At 43.9% G+C, this 21,168-nt stretch overlaps 1 protein-coding gene across 2 annotated transcripts in view, besides 1 other annotated feature; it reads right to left on the bottom strand.

Annotated features, from left to right (window-relative positions):
• Positions 1–21,168, bottom strand: part of WWOX (WW domain containing oxidoreductase) — a 1,113,014-nt gene that overhangs the window by 156,575 nt on the left and 935,271 nt on the right. The window lies entirely within an intron of this gene.
• Positions 2,025–2,720: an enhancer, noted in NCBI's record as "OCT4-NANOG hESC enhancer chr16:79087270-79087965 (GRCh37/hg19 assembly coordinates)". NCBI's record gives its function as "activates a minimal SCP1, AML or CMV promoter by ChIP-STARR-seq in naive H9 embryonic stem cells {active_cell/tissue: H9 hESC(naive)}" and the evidence as "EXISTENCE:reporter gene assay evidence [ECO:0000049][PMID:30033119]".

Below are 21,168 nucleotides of genomic sequence, written 5' to 3'. Positions count from 1 at the left end.
TTTTTTTTACAAGCTGAGCTGTGCTAAGCTATTCAAATTAGTAATTCTATCAATTAAAGCCTTCTATTTCATGGAAAGTACTTGCTAAATAGAAGATTAGGCAACAGATCAGAGAATGAAAGAATTACTGAAATGGAGCTCAAATATTTATGAGAAATTTACATCTGGGAGACCTTCCCTCTTCTTATCCCTGCTTCCAAAGGGAAATCCATAAAGAGAAGATAAAGAGCAAAGCTTAGTCCTCAACATCTACAAGCCTAAGAAGTCTGACTCACTTTGAGTTTTAGGAAAGAAGAAACTGTTTGGTTGCTACATATACTTTGTACTGCCATAAAATAGGCTGATTCCATAGGTCACATAGAAAAATTAAATTCACTATTCATAATTTATTGCCCTTGGGTGTTTGCTCTGGTTATTCATTGCTCTGTAGGAAACAACCCCAAACATACACCTTTAAAAAATAGCAATTGTTTATTCTGCCCATGAATCTTCAGTTTGGACAGGGCCTTGAGGTGGGGAATGGGAAGTAACTTCTTTCTGATTTTCAGTATCTAGGGCCTCAAATGGGATGACTTCCAATGGATGGAGGTTGGCCATTTCCCGCTCCACAAGGCCTCTCCACATGGCTAGCTGGGCTTCCTTCAACATGGCAGTCTCAGGGTAGTCAGGCATTTTACACGGCCACTCAGCCACATTCCATTGGTCAAGCAAACGAATAAGTGCAGCCTAGATACAAGGGAAGATGAATTCAACTCTATCTCTCAATGAGATGAGTAGAAAAGAATTGATATTCATCTTTATCACAATGTGAACTCAGCAAAATGTAATGTTAATTAGAAAGGCTGGCTAATTAAGCAATATAAACCAAAATAACAGAAAACAGCAAGTGTCCTGGTAATCACTGTTACTGTTTGCTTTATTCAATTAAAAGGTGCATATCTGAGGAGGAATGTTTTTTTCTTCTACCTGTTTTGTCTCATATGGATTATTTAGTTTTATATTCACTGGCTATTATTGAACATTTATACCATTTTAGGTCTCTGACGAAATATATAAACTCCATGGGAAAGCCATTTTCAGGTTGTTTTATCAGCCTGATTAGTCAGTGGAAAACCATTGCACACACAAACTCTCAAAATACAGAAAATCTCACTTGGTATTTGCTGCAATTGCTTTTAATTCTAGAACTTAAAACACTGCCTTTTATAACACAATTTCTTCAGTTAATTTTCTGCCTCCCTTTTATGATTTTTCTTTGTTTGTTTTGAGACAAAGGTCATACTCTTTCATCCAGGCTGGAGTGCGGTGGTGTGATCACAGTTCACAGCAGCCTCCACCTCCTGGGCTCAAACAATCCTCTCGCCTCACCTTCCTGAGTAGCTAGGACTTACAGACACACGACACCACGCCTGGCTAATTATTTTTCATTTTTTCATAGAGACAAGGTCTCACTATGTTGCCCAGGATGGTCCTGAACTCCTGGACTCAAGGGATCTTCCCACCTTGACCGCCCCAAGTGTGGAGATTACAGGTGTGAGCCACTGTACCAGACCCATCACTCTTTTAAAATCTGTAATTAGTTCCAGAAATTAATGTATTCCCCTGATTAAATCTGAAATTGCAACACGCGCATTTTGGAAAGACTTCTCCCTGTTGTCATCTTGAAATGGAAATCACGCCAAAAGCATTTTCCTCCTCTAGGATGCAACTGAACAAGCTGTACAAAAGCTTGAAATTCCTGAAATATCAAGTAAGAAAGATAAGAAACCGGGATAGCTGGGGGATATGTTTTGCGGGCCTAACTAAAACAATAGCGATTTAAGTAGCTATCGTATAGACACTTGATGAATCCTTTTATTATCTCTGAAAGATTCCCCGTTGCAGCATGCTTTTGTGGGTAAAGAGCTATATATTGGTACATGCAGCTCATAATTATGTCAGCCTAACCACAGCCAACATTGACAGCCTAAAACATTAAAGATCTTATACAGCCAGTGCTGAATATAGCTTCTTTTATTGGCTCAGAGAGCAGGTATCAATTATAATGAGGTAATAAAATTTGCAAGCACTGTTCATGTCCTGCTCTGATTTTTTTTTTCCCTCTCTCCTTGAGATAATAACAGCAGAAAAAGGAGAAAGAAAAATCCTCTTAGTTCTAACCACAGATTCTTCGAAAGCTCTCACTTTCTATGGCTGGGGTACTATAAAGCTGTTTGCTTACTGGAGTTTTCGGGCTGGCAAACTCTTCCTACCTAAATAGAAGCTGCAAATTTCTGAAGCACACCTTGCAAGTCAGAGGCTCCAGGATTAATGGTTTTCATTTGCATAACTATAAACTTAAGGTACAGCTTCCCAAGCCTGCATCCTCTAAATTGCACTTACTGATGAGATGCAAAATCCTCTAAAAGCGTTCCCCAACCTAAACCAATTTGTAAAGTTGTTTTGTTATTTAAAACATTAAAGAAATTAAAGTGATCGGAATATAATTAGATTAATATTCATATCTTCCAAGTTGCTTTAATTCTAATATTAAAAAGATTAAATATCCACTCAGAGGATTAAGCAAAAAGTCAAGCCGTAGCAACACATTTACATTACCTTACTGTGCAAATTATAAACCTAATTAATCTAAAGTTTCCTACAAATTGAATTGGATATTCATTTGCAGTCTAACACAACTTTAGGTACTTAAAATTCACTCCAGGATTGTTTCTTTACGTGCGCACTAAGAAGCAGGGCCACGTTGCTGGGATGCAGGAATCACATTAAAACGGCTTCATTCGGGTTCTAATTGGTGGAAATTAAATCTCAAAATAAATTTATGTAGGGGAAAAAAGCAAAGACTTTGTAATTACGTATGTGTGCAATAATAAAACACACCCTGGCCTCCCCATCTAGTTTCTGTCAATAAAATAGAAAACGCAATCCAGTTGTTTCTTCCTAAAAGCGTTGAGTTCATGTTTTACCTCTAATATTGTGAAGAACATGATCAAAAGATTTCATCCTTTTTGCATGGTCTTTAACTAAGAGCATCTAAAGGGCATCTAATTACTTTGCTCTGTAACCCTGTTCCCACCTGCTTTTGCCACCTCTCTGACCCTCCACCCACCCCCCCATCCCAACCCCCAAATACACAAACATACTCCCAGGGTCCCCATGAATCAGTGAGATCAACTGTGTCAATTTCAGATCGATTGCAGACATATTAGTAATTATCTTCTTGCCATCCACTTCTTAAGCAATATGATTGTTAGAAATGCTTGCTCCTCAGTGCCATAAAGAAATAGCACTCGAACAGGAATTTAATTTCCTCAGCAAGGCCATTTTTACTTTCTGCAGAAAGGGTACACTCGCCAGCAGTTTTGCCATGAGAGAACACCGGACAAAGGAGACAGGCTCATTTATAACCTGACACGTGTACTCTACTGCTGTGTCCGGTTTCCATTGGCTGGAAAGGGACCTCACATTCTGTATTTGTTCCGACTGGCTAGCAACTTAGAACTTTTTAAAAGAGGCAAAGGCCACATTTTCTTAATCCAGTCTACCACTGTTGGACATTTGGGTTGGTTCCAAGTCTTTGCTATTGTGAATAATGCCGCAATAAACATATGTGTGCATGTGTCTTTATAGCAGAAAGATTTATAGTCCTTTGGGTATACACCCAGTAACGGGATGGCTGGCACATATACACCATGGAATACTATGCAGCCATAAAAAAGGATGAGTTCATGTCCTTTGTAGGGACATGGATGAAATTGGAAATCATCACTGTCAGTAAACTATCGCAAGAACAAAACACCAAACAACGCATATTCTCACTCATAGGTGACAACTGAACAATGAGATCACATGGACACAGGAAGGGGAATATCACACTCTGGGGACTGTGGTGGGGTGGGGGGAAGGGGGAGGGATAGCATTGGGAGATATACCTAATGCTAGATGACGAGTTAGTGGGTGCAGCGCACCAGCATGGCACATGTATACATATGTAACTAACCTGCACAACGTGCACATGTACCCTAAAACTTAAAGTATAATTAAAAAAAAAAAATTAAAATAAAAAAAGAAAAAAGAGGCAAAGGCAGAGGAGAACAAAGGAAGGACGAAGTAACTTGTGGAATGCTGAGAAAGGTAAAAACACCTTCAAATAAGGAAGAGGAACAGGCTATGACCTAATGCTTGCTTGGACCAGTATAAGCATGCCAGGGCAAATATTTAGGCTAAACTGTGGGAGCTAAGAACATAAAGTACATTGATTTCTTCATTACAGCTAGCAGATATTTAAGAATGTTAGCACAGGTCTTTGAATTAACTTTGCTTCTAAGAGAAGTTACTATTTATTCCTAATTAGATGGGGAGGAAATTCTTTCAAGAGGAACCTCTACTTTTTACACCCTTGTAGAGAAGTGAAACAGTGCAAATCAAATTCAATTGCTGGCATGAAAGGATAACACTAAAGAAATTTGAGGCAGCGACTGCCTGGCTGTTCACTAATGTTGACGCTCCCTCCCACCCACCCAGCACACAGCAAACTATATTTCCCAGCCTCCCTTGCAGGCAGCCATGGTCATGTGACTGAGTTGTAGCCAATGACATAAGTGTTAGTGGCCTGGAGAATGTGGCAACCTCAAAAGGTCTTCGTTGGTCAAGGTGAAGCCACAGAATGGAAGGAGCCTGGGTTCCTGAATTACCACTTGGAGGACAGCGGCTTGCTGATCACAGCACCTGTTTTGGATTTTATGTTAATGAAAAACAAACTTACTGATTTAAAGCATTGCACACTTAGGTTTTAGTAGGGTCTCCTGCGCATGATGCAAAAATTATTGGTGAGTCCACTTCCCAAGAAAAAGTTTCCCCTTCCCACAGCAAGGCAACACTTTACTCCTCTAAAGACAACTTTTTCTCCCAACAGGCTCCAACTTCAAGTCACACATATATTAACAACTGATCAGCATGAAACAACCCGAGGAGTAGGGCTGCAGTCACACCTGTTTATTTTACTGTTGTGATGGCAGCAAATATAATGGCTACAGCTTCCTTGGGAATAATCCTGCTATAAGCGTTAATGGGCGAAGAGCCGTGACGTGTGATTTGGGTCAGTGTCTTGTGTTCACAAGGAGCACTCAAGGCTGCTAATCTGGGCTGTAATTTCTCGTTTCTCCTCAACCACTTTGCCTTTTATGGGGCTTATATTGATGAATGCAGAGGATAACTGTCAGCTCACCTGGTAAAGCTCAGTGCAAGAAGTTTAACAATTCATCTCGTTTCCTAAAGGCGGCAGAAGAGAAGCAAGCTCTGGGCCTTCAACAGGTTCGACCCACCCTATTCTCCTCACTTCCTCTCTTACCTCCTTCCCCCAACCTATGTAGCCCCATTCATTTCGCCAGATTGATTTTTTCAATTGTAACGGAAGTCATGTCACTCCTGTTCTTAAAATTCCTCAGCAGCTTCTTATGCAACTCAAATACAAGTGCAGTCTTGGGTCAGGGGCCCATTCTTCACCCTCCTCTCTGGATCCATGCCCCGGGCTTTGGGACTGCAGTATCCTCCCTCTCTAACCGTGAGCTCAGCCATGTGATTTATTTGGGGCATCAGTGTGTGACAGAGGAATGGGTATGCCAGTTCTGGGTCTAGACTTGAAAGTCCTTATGTGTTTTGAGTTGCTGTCTTGCATTTCTGCCCTTGCCATAAGAAAGTCATGTCTGGTCTAGCCCTGCTGGTCCCAGGAAGATGAGAGACATGTGGAGGAGAACCACCCCAGCTAAAGTGCCCCACCCATGTCCAGCCTAGGGCAGAAAGCCCAGCTGATGCAAAGATGCAGGAGCAAAACAAGCTGACCCACAGACACAGGGGGAAGCCCCACCAAAACCAGCAGGACCAGTAGGGCAGGGCAGCCAAGCCCAGCCTAGTTCTGCTGAACCCCACACACACGTGAGAAGTAAATACTGATTGCCGTGAGCCACTCAGTTGCCACACGGTTACGCAGCAGCAGCAACCAAGTCACTGGCCTATGCTTCATCTTGAAGCTCTAATGACCTGTTTAAACTCCTCCCATTCCAGACCTCCAGGGTGCCCCATACTCTGCAATCACACTGGCCTTCCCTCAGGTACAAGCATGACATGTTTTTTTCTTGCCCTGGAGTCTTTCCCTTAATGGAACCACATGCTTTTACCACTCCATGTCCTTCTGCATGGCTGGGTACTGCTCACTCTTCATATTTTAACTCAGAAGTAACTTTTTTTTTTTTTTTTTTTGAGACAGAGTCTCACTCTGTCGGCCAGGCTGGTGTGCGGTGGGATGATCTCAGCTCACTGCAACCTCCACCTCCCAGGTTCAAGCAATTCTCTGCCTCAGCCTCCCAAGTGGCTGGGATTACAGGCGCCGGCCACCACGCCAGGCTAATTTTTGTATTTTTAGTAGAGACGGGGTTTCGCCATCATGGCCAGGCTGGTCTTGAACTCCTGACCTCGTGATCCACCCACCTCGGCCTCCCAAAGTGCTGGGATTACAAGGGTCAGCTACTGCGCCCTGCCACTCAGATGCAGTCTTAAGAGAAAGCCCCTCAACAATGCCATCTGGGCTTGGCCTTCCTGATCATTCTCTGTGGAGTGTCCCAGCTGTGCTGCAAATGGGTGACAGCTGTACCAGAATATCGATGCCCCTCAAGGTTTTGCGTCCTACAACTGCCAGCCCTGAGCAGCCTCATCCACATTACTCAATTGTGCCGAATAAATCCCCTGTGTTTGCCCCAGTGTGAAAGAGCGGGCACGTGCTGCTTGCACTATTATGCTTACTTCCTTGACAAAGGCAAAATCTGGCCCTCCTCTTGTTTTTGTAAATAAAGTTTAATTGGCACACAGCCACAGCCACTCATTATGTAACAGCCATGGCTGCTTTTGAGTTACACTGGCAGAACTGAATAGTTGTGATGGTGACTGTATGGGTCACAAAGTCTAAAATATTTGCTATCTAGCTGTTTGCAGAAACAGTCTGCTGACCACTGCACTAAAGTATAAACTGTCAGAGGATAGAAACCTTGTCGCTTTTGTATCTCGGGTATCTAGCACAGTGCCTGTCCCTCAGGGATTCTCATTGCATATTTGTCCAGGGAATAGAGGAATCATGACTCCAGTGGACACCTGTGTTTAACTCCCATCTCTGTACCAAAGGCGGGGGTCCCTTACAGTTCTGGAGGTCACTCTGGGGATGGTGGTAGAGATGTGCTATATTGCAGCTGAGCCCGGAACATCAGGGCAGCTACAATGCTGGTGACCACTGTGTGGCACTTGAATTTCTCAGAAAGGTGGTAACGAGGCTCCTGCCTCCACTGGCAGCAGCCGGAGTGCTGGGTCTGCATCTGCTGCAGGCAAGACAATTTGAAAGTTTGAAGAAATAAGAACAACTCAAAGTTTAATTTACTCAAATAAGCAATTGATGCTTTAGAGTATAATTATCAGAGAAAACAAAAAAACACAACACATTCTTTAGCATACGTTATGTTAATGGCAGGTTAGGATGGCCCACTGTGCATAATTTAGCCAAACAATTGATACCAAATTTTTATATATATATATGATTACTGCTACAGAAACGAAGCACCAAGACAAAGCACAGGAGAGCTCATAATAGACACACGTGAACTCTGAAGCCCTAATTACATCACGGGGGACGGTAATCAGTTGCTGCTGAACCAAGCAGAAAATGGGGGTAATTTGTAAACAGGTAGAGTGGCAGTCCAGGTGCACCGGCATGTGTGTGGGGCTGGAGGGCTGGGGCCCCTGGGCTTCCATCTGAGCTTTGCAAGGATGGAGAGGTTCAGGATCACTTTTCTCAGCTGAAAACACAACCTCCAAGCTCTACACAGGTCAGCTCCCTCCTGGCCTGCCCTTCAGTTCAAAAAATAGAAAGTCGAAGGCTAGCTTTTTGAAGGAAGCTTCTCCATGCTCCATGAAATAGAAAATGATTTTCCGTGTCTGTGATCTGAGGCCCATTGCCCTGTATCTTCCCCTGATATCCTAGAAGACGTGAGTCCCTGGCATCTTAGGGAGCAGAGGGATGCCAGTCTATAGCCACCTTGACCACAAGGGATATTTTCAGGAGAGGATATAGTGAATTCTCCTTCCTGCAACTCCTCTGCAGACAGGAGATTTTGTGCTAGGTAATTGCTCGGGTGTATTCTGGTTCAAAATGCAGAGTCTGTGAATCTGAATCAATGAGTTGTCAGATTTCTTTCTTTCCTTCATTCATGCAGGACTACAAATCTGCTCACGTCATGGTCCTACTGTGAGCCAGTCATCAGATCGCAACCAAGAGTCACCAAGTACCTGGAATACAGCTGCCCTGTGACGTTACCTTCCATCTGCATCACCCAAAACAAACTGACAAGCAAAAAAAAAAAAAAAAAAAAAAAAAAAAATCAGGACAGTCTCAGGAGAAAGTCACCCAGTTCTGACATCCAGAACTGTAAGGGAATCGATTTGTGTTATTTTATGCCACAAAATTTGTAGTAATCTGTTACAGCAGCCACAGGACACTGATACACATGGTGGCCCCTAGAGGGAGTTCAAGACAGGATGCAGGTATTTGTGCATTAACGACATCATTTCTATATGCCAGGCTTTCATAAACCTTGGTAGACCAGGCTGACATTCCTCAGTCGATCAATCAATTAATCAATTAACCAATGGATCAATCTTCATCTGGTCTATTTCTGGCCTTGTCAAATTCATTAGCAAAACCACCATAAGCTTTTCAGCATTGCGGCTCAAGGGAATCTAAGAAAACACTTCAGACTATTAAGACTTGCTTCTCACACAAGTATTTGTGGCCTTTAAATACATGGTGAATCCATGAGGGTAAGGACAATTTGTGTCTCTTTCCCTCCCCACCCTCAATGCCTTGCATGTGCTTACTACTCAATAAATATTTATTGACTGAATGAAAGAATAAATGAATGAATGAATGAATACATATGTGAATGGCTGGAAGGGTGGCATGCTGGTTGAAAGGAGAAGCAATATTTGTGGATGCCAAGGACATATGTAAATTAAATGGCTTTGCAAATTTCTGATAAAAGGTCAGTTGCTTTATTGTTTAAACCACGGGGTCAGGTAGCTCAGGCTGGGGGTTACTTTTACATGGAAGGGAGATAATGAGTTGTGAGTTGTTTAAGAATTTGAGTAACCAATCGTATTAGGAATATGGGAAGTACGAGAAGAAGAGAAAAGAAGGACTAGAAATGGAAGAAGAGTTGGACACAAAGAGACATTTGTTGTAGTGCAGGCCTGGGGGACAAAGAGAGCAGGGTGAAGTTGCCCACACACACCCAGCCCTGGATTTCTTTTTGAGAGAAAGAGGTGGGAGCTGAATGGCTGCAGGAAGAATCTACCAGAGTCGGTTCAAAATCTCCTGCTGGGCTGAGCCAAGCTATGCTCACCGTGGAGTCCTCCTGGTGAGACAGAAAGCTTTGTTTTTCTGTGTACTGGGGAGGAACTGGGAGAAACACTCCCCGGTGAGCTCTCTCACCCTCTTCCCACCATGTGAAGATGCACAAGAAGGGCAGACATCTATGAATCAGGAGCCCAGCCTTCACCAGACAGTGAACCTTCCACTGCCTTAATCTTAGACTTCCCAGTCTCCAGAACCATGTAAAACAATTGTGGTTAAGGCCATCCAGTCTGTGATACTTTTGTCACAGCAGCCTGAACTGATAAAGACAACAGGATACAGGAAAGGAAGAACCAGAGAGAATGACTAATTTTTCTTGATCATCTACTATGTGCTGGTGCTACTATATCCCTGGGCTGAGAGCTTTACAGTTCAAGGGAAAAAAGGGAGTTAGACAAATGCAGAGAAAATGAACTAAACACTTGGATACATACTGACAATAATAATAACAGTGGCTACTTCTCTTGAGCAATGAACATGTGCTGAGCACAGTCCTGCAAGGGAGGATTATTATCCCTACAATATAGAAAAGAAAACTGTGGCCGGGTGCAGTGGCTTATGCCTGTAATTCTAGCACTTTGGGAGGGCAAGGCAGACAGATCATCTGAGGTCAGGAGCTCGAGGCCAGCCTGGCCAACATGGTGAAAGCCCGTCTCTACTAAAAATACAAAAATTAGCCAGCCATGGTGGTGTGCACCTGTAGTCCCAGCTACTTGGGAGGCTGAGGCAGGAGAATCACTTGAACCCGGGAGGCAGAGGTTGCAGTGAGCTGAGATTGTGCCACTGCACTCCAGCCTGGGCAACAGAGTGAGACTCCATCTCAAAAAAAAAAAAAAAAAAAAAAAAAAAAAAAAAAAAAAAGGAAAAGAAAAAAGGAAAGACGAGCTCCAGAGAGATTACATCACTTGCCCACAGTTGCACAGTTAGTAAGTGCACACACACACACTGTGTTAACCCACAATGCAGTTAGTAAGTGATTGAGCCAAGATGCAAAACTCAGGTGCCTCTGCCTCCAAGCTGGTCCTTTTCATTGATAGCTGATGTGCATCAGATTGTTTTGAGGCTTTAAATTCTGCCTCCGTGTTCTATTGGGAAAATGAGACTAGGAATGGAGAAATTTCTCATCCAAGTAAGGGAAACTAACAACATAGTCTCTCTTTCTGGAGAGGTCAGCTGGCAACTTTGCCCATTTCCTGAGAGTATCCTCTCACCCACGCAGATCATGATGTACATCTCTCTGGAGTGGGAGCCAGGCCACACTCCAAGCTACAAGCTGGACAACTGGGCTGATCCTTGCCAATTAAAATGCAACTCCAGCCTGCATTTCCATGTAGGTCAAATGTCCCATGAGCTATCACTGAATCCCAGAGGCTGCATATTTAATTCTGTACCCTTAGAAAGCTCTTGCTGAAATGAGGTACATCCACCACATAAGAACTTGGTTCTAATGCATAATTTGGGGAAAAGATTTAATTTAACACTTGTAAAGGTTAATGCGATAGAATTTACGAAAGAATAAATGAATGAACGAATGCCTAAAATTTGAGGCAAAATCTAACATTTGGAGAGATTGACAGGAGCAGAGCTGATCTTTCCAGAGAACTTAGCATCTTCTAGAGCTCGCTGATGCTAATTTTAACATCTACCCTTTATTGAGCAGTTATTATGTATGTAAATCTTTATGCACATTATCTCATTGATTATTGTAGCAACTCTATGAAATGAGCACTAGCATTAGCCTCATTCTACACAGGGGAGGATGGGGGACTCAATGAGGCTGAGTGACTTTACAGGGTCACAGAGCTGTTAAGTGGCAGCGCTGGGCCTTGAGGTTGGACTTTAAGATCCACACTCTTCAGCATTCTCTGACACTGCCTTCTTTTCCATTCTTCAACATCAGTCCCCTCTACAATAATCCTGCTCAGAGACCATGTATTAGGCCATTCTTGCATTGCTATAAAGAATTACCTGAGACTGGGTAATTTATAAAGAAAAGAGGTTTAATTGGCTCATAGTTCCACAGGCTGTACAGGAAACATGATACTGGCAGCTGCCTGGCTTCTGGGGGAAGTCTCAAGAAGCTTACAATCATGGCAGAAGGAGAAGGCGGAGCAGGCACGTCATGTGGCCAGGGCAGGAGCAAGAGACAGGGTGGGGGGCTGTGCCACACATTTTTAAATGACCAGCTCCCCCAACAACTCACTCACTATCGTGAGGACAGTACCAAGAGGATGGTGGTAAACCATTCATGAGAAATCCACCCCCATGACCCAATCACCTCCCACCATGCCCCACCTCCAACGCTGCAGATTACCTTTTGACATGAGCTTTGGGCAGGGACAACATCTAAGCTGTATCAGACCGCCAGCTGGAACTTCAATACTTTCAACGACGGATTTTGATGGTAACTTTCCTTCTCCCTGAAGAGCGTTTGTTGAATGCCTACACTGTGGGCCTGAAGACTCCTCCCTGAACACAGTGAACATTTGCTGTTTGGGATTCCCAGTACGTGTTCCTTTTCTTTTGCTTATATTTCAGTCTCCCTTTGGGAGCTGCGCCTCACTGTGACTCTCAGGCCACCGGGTCTGGGCAGGGCCGAAGCCTCTTCCTGGCTCTAGGAGAGAGCACATAACTCAGGCCTAATCAATGAGAGTTTCATTGTCCCTGGCCACAAGGACCAAACCACAGAAGACAAGTGACCAGAAAGGTCCGAGCAGAGTGAATGAGCGGCAGCCCTGGACTTTTGCTACAACTACTGGCCTTGGAGGCCAGAGGTACTCCACTTCCAGAGTTTGCTCTCTACATCCCATCTAAGCCTGTCTTAGAATAAAGCTAGCAGAGAAGAGATCAAAACTGAGGACCAGAGAAAGAAAGGTGTCTGATAATATCATTTCAGCCTGGATCCAGAGATTAATTCCCTGGTTATGAATCTTCCTCTGCCCAGTCTATACTGGTCAGCCTGATCCTATTTACATGACAAAAATCATCATGTCTCAAATTACTTACTTAATAAAATGTGGGTTTGTGTGTTATTAGCAAACATTAGGGTTATAATGCAGGATGGAAATTTGGAACAAATTAACTACACATGCAAGCTGTCGGATCCTGGATCCAGCTATGCCTGAACTCACGTCTACCCCTGGACTTCCCACTTACTTATCTAATGCACTTGCTTTTCCTCCCTGAAGCTATTTTAAGTTGAGTTCAGTTCTGTCTCTCATCCTCAATGTTGGTCTTAATTTTATCCTCAGAATCCACAAAGAACAAATCAAAATTTCCTGCAGAAAAATTTTTCATAAATCAAAAACCATTTTTTTAATCCTAATTTCTGCTACCATGCCACCACCTCTATTCATCTGGTAGAGGTTTAATTCACGAAGTTCATTGTAAAGTTTCCTGGCACCCTCACAGGAAACAAGTTATACATAGATTTTTTTTTCATTTAAAAAAACACTCATGTGGCCATTCAAAGCTACATCTCTCTTCTCTTCAGCTGCAAGTAGGCAAAGTCAGCACCTCTCACCTGCCCACGTGTCCAGGAAGCATCTACCACAGAGGAAATGGCAGTGCCCAGGTATGATGGGAACTCTTGATGACAGGAGAGCCTGTCCCATTACATCACTGAACAGAAAAGCTCAAAGACAAGACCAAGAGTGAATCTTAGCAGACAGTCAAGAAGGATGAGAAATGAGGGCATCCATAGGCATTTGCTCATCATGAAATTCTGACGCATCACTTAAAATCCAGGGACACATGAATAGAAGCAATAAAAGCTATTTTAATTAAATTTGAGCTATAATTCTGGGTTTCTTGTTTTGTTTTGGTACTTGCATGGTTCAACAGTATATTAGACAAATGTGCATTTGAGAAATCCTGATCAAGGAGGACAAGTTAGAAGAAAAAAAAAAAAAAACCCTGAGTATTCATCTGTCTTCCCACAAAGTCTTCCTGAAGCTATTCTTGCAAAACCTTCTGCCCACTGGCACTGTATGCGTATGATTAACTGCACTTGAGCCCAACAGCTTGCATGTATAGTTAATTTGCTCCAAATTTCCATGCTGCATTATAACCCTAATAATCACTAATAATAGACAAACCCACATTTTATTGAGTAAGTAATTTGAGACATTATGATTTTTATCATGCGAATAGGATCAGGCTGACCAATTTACACTGGGCAGAGGAAGATAAATAACCAGGGAATCAATCTCTCCAGCACAGACTCTGTCTCTTGGCAAAATGATATACATTGATCAGGCAAGAAACCCAGCTCCAGGCCCTGCTAGGCAACAAAGTCAATGAACTTCCATGTTCCAAGCCAAAAGGTCAGGGAAGGTGCATGTTTCCACCCATGACATAATGCAAAAGACAGTGAGGAAGCCTCAGCTTTTGGGAGGGTGTAAGAGAGCGTGGGCTTTGGAGTTCATGGACAGAGTTTCCAACCCCAGCTAGGGCACTCAATCACTGTGTGCATCTGAGCCTCCACCTGTGAATACTTCAGAGACAGGCGGGGGAACGTGGGTGCAGGTTAACCAAGAGCAAGCAGGTGCAGGCACCTGGAACATGGTAGCTAGAGAGTTAATCAGTTTCCCTCCAAAATTTGTGGAACATAAAGAGTAGGATAGAAGGTATATACATTTTACATTTCGCACCCATTTTGCAGAACCAGGGTGAACTTCCCATTCATTTCCACACAAGAAACCACCAAGACTCTTAGAGAGGAGAAAGCAGTTCCCGGGCTCCTCCAGTTTCTCTAAACACGTGTGAGAAAGGACAGAGCAAGCAGAGGTTGAATGTAAGTTATTATCCCTTCTAGGTTTGTCTGAATTTTGCCAGGAAGCTAAAGCAAAAGCGTATGGAATGAAAAAACAAAAGTGTAAAGCATTAAAGCTCAAGCCCTGGATTCCATGAAAGGTCCAGTTTTGCCAGTTTCAAACTGCCTCATGCCCTTGCCATTTGCAGTGATGGCTTCTGTCTTTCTGAGGTGGGATGGCTCTTGGTGGCCTGCTACTGACCCCAGTCACTTGGAATTCTGATCCCGTACTCCCAGAGGCCAACCAGACTTATTCACCCGTCATAGGCTCAGCCCTCCTTGGCCCCCTGCTAAGCAGCTGATGAGTTCTGCGGACTTAATGAGCATGATCCCTGCTCCATCATCCAGGTTCCTAATGAGAAACTGGAACCCACAGGGCTTATGTCTGCCCAGGACAGGACACCGGCAAGGAACCGCAAGGGGCGTGGTGGGTGGAATCCTTATATCAGGGAATGGGCATTCCAGCAAGGAAGGCTTCCTAGAGAGGGTGAGCTCAGAGAGAAGGTGACACACAGAGGCTGGGGGACAAGCGGGAGGGGTGACAGGGAGATGATTAACCTTATGAAGGAAGAAAGCCAAGAATTAACAGACATCACACGAGTGCAAAGAAGATTCCTCTTTTGCATTCGTTTTTATTTTTATTTAAGTTGGGGCAAGACCATGGGGTCAATATCTGTATTGTGTCAGAGACTGCCAATAGGTGTGTTACATTACATGACAACACACGTAATGAATTACATGTATTAGGACATTGCATTCTGGCCATGTTTCTGCTTGGATAAGAGACTGAAGCTCAGAACGGTGAAATGCACTTGTCTGATGCACTTGTCTGCTAGTAACTAGGGATTTCAGGAACCACCTCATTGTCCCCCCACAGCCCAAAACCCATGCTCCATCCATGGATGCGTCCTGCAACCCAGGAGCAACCTCTCCCTTGGGCAAATTGGCTGGGCAACAGCTAGCTAAGTTACTTTCTGTGATCGGAAAAAAATCCCAGTACAACCTTGCTCCTCCCCGAGCTCTCCGGACAAGGACAAAGCACTCAGAAGAAGGTCTAAGAGTGTCAGGTTCCCTGGCTGACAAGTCTAGGGGGATCTCTGTGGTTCTAGTTATCCCAATGATCTGTGACTCTTTTGCAGGGTAGCTGGGGAGGGGTTGATGATGAGGGTGGGAACTAAAGCAAAACTGATCTGTTTTACAGTCATGATTTTCCTGAGAAAAGTGAGAAAGAAATGACAAAAATTATCAACTCAGGCCAGGCCCAGTGGCTGATACCTGTAAGCCCAGCACTTTGTGGGGCCAAGGTAGGTAGATCACCTGAGCTCAGGAGTTCGAGACCAGCCTGGGCAACATAGTGAAGGCTTGTCTCTACCAAAGATGCAAAACAATTATCTGGCCATGGTGGTGCATCCTGTGGTCCCAGCTGCTCATGAGGCTGAGGCAGGAGGATCGCTTGGGCCTGGGAGGCAGAGGTGGCAGTGAGCTGAGATCGCACCACCGCACTCCAGTCTGGGCAACAGAATGAGACCTTGTCTCAAAAAAAAAAAAAAAAATCAACTCAGAAAGAATGAACTGAAATGTACCTGAGATGTGGGACTTGGCTCTTTGAGGTTCAAAGAACTTGGAGGTCATACCAAGGATGAACGCTATCATTTTCCAAGGGCTCTTTTTATGCCAGGATCCATTCCAAGTACATTACTGATGTGAGCCAATCTTCACAGCAACCTATGGGGTAGGAATGATTATTATACCCAGTTTATAGATGGAAACACTGAGGCACAGCAGGGTGATGCTAATTGCCCAAGGGCACACAACTGGTAGTGTAACTGCCACCTTTGATGAAATGTACCAGCATGATCGTATGCATTTACAACACACTACACCCCTCCAGATGTACTCAAGAGAACCCCAGGATGGCATGGAGCCCAGCGTATCAGTCCATGGAATGTGGCTTCCTGGAAGAAGCAACTCCTGACTGGTAGAGATGAGTCAGATGATGAATATCAGACAGACAGAAGAGCACGCAAAAAGGTTCAGAGAAGGGAGATTTCGAGGTGAGAAAACTGAAGTCAGAGCCACTGAAACTAAGACCCCAGGCTCTCCTGCTTCCATCTAGCATCACCCTGCTCCTCCTCATGTTTTCTTAAGAAAGATGGCACAAGGAACAATGGACAGGAGTTACTTTCCGAGGTGCCGGGTCAAGAAGCCTACGGTAGGAAGGCAAAACCCTCGCCAGTGCTGGCATCTGGCAACAGTGACAATGGACACCTCGACCATGGACACAGTCATGGGCAAAAGGATTCTGCTTGGGACCCAACTGTTTCTAATCAGCCTTTACGATGGGCAAATGCGTCGCCTCTGGTTCTGCACAGCTGTGCCCAGGAGGAAGCTGCTCCTCCTGTTCCAGGGCTTGGCTGTTCTGTGACTTCCTATGGGGGAAGGGGGTCGTTTTCGGCCTGGTCCCACTTAGTCCTCAATGAAACTCCCTTACAGATGAGGTGACTTGGCTTCTGCTGGCAGGAGAGGAGGCAATCCAAGGGCGCAGAGAGGTTAATGGCTTATGCACCAAGACAGTCATTCCTGCAAAGTCAGATCGGTATTCTGCAACCCCTGAACAAAACTGCAACGCAAAGTCCTGGGTTCAAAACCGTAACATGAGCATCACCTGCAAAAAGAATTCCCCAGCTACAATAAAACAGTCAGAACTTTCATTTCTTTAATTTTTTTTAATGCAGGAAATCAAGTTCAGTTTATCCATGTTAAATTTAAGAATCCCAACGTAGAGGTTTAACACTAAGTCATATGAATTATAACCTATTAAAACTCCCATTTGTGGCAGACATTAGCTTTGAAAAAAATGATCCTAGGGGCAACTCAATAGATATATGTGGTCATGAAATGCAGATTTGTAAGTTATCCTCTATGTATGCTTTACATCTTTTTAAAAAATGTATTTTTCTGATTTAAAAGTTATTTCTAGGCTGGGCACAGTGGCTCATGCTTGTAATCCCAGCACTTTGGGAGGCTGAGGCAGGTGGGTCACCTGAAGTTAGGAATTCAAGAGCAGTCTGGCCAATATGGTGAAACCCTGTCTCTACTAAAAACACAAAAATTAGTTGGGTGTGGTGGTGGGTGCCTGTAATCCCAGCTACTTGGGAGCCTGAGGCAGGAAAATTGCTTGAATCTGGGAGGCAGACATTGCAGTGAGCTGAGATTGCACCATTGCACTCCAGCCTGTGTGACAAGAGAGAAACTCTGTCTCAAAAAAAATAAAAAGTTAATTCTTTGTCAGAAAACTCTGATAATATATTGTTAAAAATCATAATTAGAACACTCATAAACAATAACATCTCAATAAATTTCCTTCCAGTCTTTTTTTTCTGTGCATGTCTAGGGCATGTTAAAACATATCTTAGTAATTTTTTCCATAATTAGACTCACAGAATTTTTCTTCCTTCGTTTTCCACCTAATGTTGTATCATAAGCATTTTCTTCTTATTTTTCATTAAAATCACTGTTTATACTTTGAAACGCCCTTTTATGTATTTTATCTTCAGGAGACAATTCACTGGATCTTTCTGGGAATAACCACGTGCATGAGGAAAGACAAATATTTGCAAAGGGCCAACAGGGTGTGAGCTGACAAAAAAAAAGTGTGCAGGTGGCCTCTCACCCTGTCCTGGGGTTCACGGGGGGACAGATCCTTTTGAACTGGATCCTGCACTCTCCCAACTGCTCATCTGAATTAATTGTTGAGGAGGGAAGCCGAGAGAATGCTAAAGAGGAATCTGTACAGGGGAACTGGCAGATATTGGAGCCTGGTTGCCATCATGTGTTAACGAGCTTTTTCTGGTTATGTAGGGGAGGAACAGAACCAGAAAAGAAATGCGAGTGTGAGTGCTTTTCTCGGATGGAAAGCCTGTCCTTTGGCTGCAGCTGGCATTTCTACTGGCACAGTCGGCCACCCAGAGAGCAGGCAGGAGCTGGATGGAATGCTGACCTCTGGCAGAAAGATCTCCTGACCTTGGGGATAAAAATGTCTAGATGACCTTGTAGGGGATAAAAACAACTCAACTTCACCAGAAATGCAAACAAAACCAACCTCTCCAATGACATATTTACCTGGCTTGCGATTGTGAGGCCTATTTAATAACCTTTCACTAACAACTAAGGTTGCAGGAGGTTGGGAGGGTGTGGCAACCTGCCCATCCTGCCTCAGCTTCTGGGAGGTAGCAGGGTGCAGTTGTAGACCTTGTAAACACACAGATTTAAATGTGGTCTCTGTCACTCATCAGCAGTGTGACTTTGGGAAGGTGACAGCTGCTGAGTCCTAGACTCCTATGACAACTTCCTTTCCACAGACCCCACAACTTGATGTAACGAACCCCCAGTCTAGTACCCAGCATACAGCATCATCGATAATCACATTCCCCCAACACACCCTCAATCAACTGACCCTAGGAATATCCATTCTTCCTCTCTACAAAAAGACTTGAGAATCAAAACCATTCTGGTTTCACCCATGCCCCAGCACTTTCCAGGCAGGGTAGGAAAAGAAGCATCCCCCAGAGTCAGGAGCAGGAGCGAGAGAGAGAGAACGAACAAATGAATTACTGTTGGCAATTACAGGGCCAAGACTGCTGTCACTTTTCTGATGGTGCTGGCAGTCAAGGCAGCTTTGTGCTCCTCTCCCTTCCTTGAGAGAGATTACAAACTGAAAACCATTGCTGTAAAGCCCAGGCCCCGCCCTGAGTCTGAGGAAGAGCCCTGCATTCTTAACAGAGTGCCTGAGAAGCAGTAACAACAAATACAGTTAATACGTGAGCCATGAGAGACCCATCACTATACCCATATTCCTTTTGTGTGGCTAAATGGAGCCAAGATAACACACTGAGAAATACGTATCTTCAGAACCACTTATTGCCCATCTGAAAGAATCCCTTTGGCACTTCCACTGAATCTGATCCTCTCTTCATGTGTCTAAAATACCTGATGCTAACATCTCTACAGCACAGTTCATCTCTTCTGAAACAGGATACACTCAGAGCCATGATGACAGATATGCAGCATGCCTGTTTACTCTTCCCAATCCTTCGCTCACTGCAGACATCACTAATCAATCCCAGCACTCGTTCAATCAAGTGCAGGTACAGCCTCACAGTCCTTCCAAAAACAGAGCTTCAGAGAGCCACTGTGAATTGAATGGAGTTGGTAAGCCTTTCATAGAAGGACAGATCATTCATCTCTTCTCCCACATTAAGCCAAGAGCTCCGATAATTCAGGCAGAGGAAAGCCCTGACTCTGGCACTTCCTTAGGAGCTGCTCGGAGGAAGCTGCACCATAGGAGGGTTTGTCAAAGGCCTCACATGTCATGAATGATGCAGCAAATGCAGATACTTATATGGAGGTCAACGGGCAATAATTCTATGAGGCAAGAATGGGACTTAAATTACAAAGTTGAACATAAAGGGTACTGTCTAATGAATGCAGGAAGAGTGATGAGTTTTCGATTTTTCAGCCAAAAGAGGTGCCATCTGATGGGCATTATCTGGTGGGAGTCAGGGCAAAAAGTAGGCCCCATGGCATGGTTGACAGAGTGGGGAGAAAGCTGTAGTGGGTATACTGTTTGAGACGCTACTTGAAGAGGGTGAAACCTGACCCAAGGAAATCTCCAATTCCTAAATCCAAGGTATTTCATAGAGAGTGAAAGATAGCCCAGGGTGTGGTGAATGAGAAATGGAGAGAGCAGGAAAACAGAAAGAAAACCACAGAGAGACCACAGAGGTGGACTGTGCTGAGTATGCTGGAAGGAGGAACGGAAAAGATAGATTCTTAAGCCAAGCAAAAAGCCAAGGGATGCTGGTGGCAATGTAGGCATGGCCTTCTAAGATCTTGAGACAGTCTGAGGCAGCTCCTTTAAGAAGCTGAATTCTTGGCTGGGTGTAGTGGCTCACGCCTGTAATCCCATCACTTTGGGAGGCAGAGGCAGGATCCCTGTTCACAGCACCAACTTGGCCACCGTCTAATGGGGTTGGCCTTTTGTTCTTGGAACACCTGAGATCAGGAGTTTGACACCAGCCTGGCCAACATGGCGAAACCCCGTCCCTACTAAAAATACAAACATTAGCCAGGCATGGTGGTGCACACTTGTACTCCCAGCTACTTGGGAGGCTGAGGCAGGAGAATCACTTGAACCCGGGAGACGAGGTTGCAGTGAGCCAAGATCCCACCTACCACACTCCAGCCTGGATGATAGAGTGAGACTCCATCTCAAAAAATTAATAAATAAATAAAATAAGCTGACTCTTTCCCCCAGACACACCTCTACTGCTAATCATAAAATATTAAAGGAGCAGCCGGAGTACACCTTCCACTTATGGGTAAATCACAAACCATTAGCCCTGTTCACAGCACCAACTTTAGTTCACCTCCCTTGGCCACTGTCTAATGGGGTTGGCCTTTTGTTCTTGGTACAATATTCTAGACAGTCTAGAACTCCCCTGGATTTGCCTCCCATTGGAAATCAAAGGGATTAGAGATGGACTGGGTTTCCAGGAGTAGAGCCAGGGCCAATGATTCTGGAAGGTACGTGGTCTTGTTTTCTACGTCTTATTGTGGGCCACTAGCTAGTGTTGCCTAGGGAAATTAAAGTGGCACATGCAAAAATGAAAATACTGACGGTCAAATGATGAGATCACAGATATTTATTTTTTCTTGAAAAAAGTGTATTTATTTGTTTGTTTGTTTCACTTTACTGGATATTAGAGTACAATGTTGAATGTAGGAAATGTTGACAAGTTAAAAGAGTCAGCAATATTATTAACCATTAATGAATTAGAGGACAATGATTTTGCTTCTGATTTATACTTGCCTTTACTGTCTTTCAATAATCCTACTAGAAGAT

The sequence above is a fragment of the Homo sapiens genome, chromosome 16 (assembly GCF_000001405.40).
Source record: "Homo sapiens chromosome 16, GRCh38.p14 Primary Assembly".
In the NCBI taxonomy this organism is placed as follows: domain Eukaryota; kingdom Metazoa; phylum Chordata; class Mammalia; order Primates; family Hominidae; genus Homo; species Homo sapiens.
This window is presented reverse-complemented; position numbering and strand designations above follow the sequence as displayed.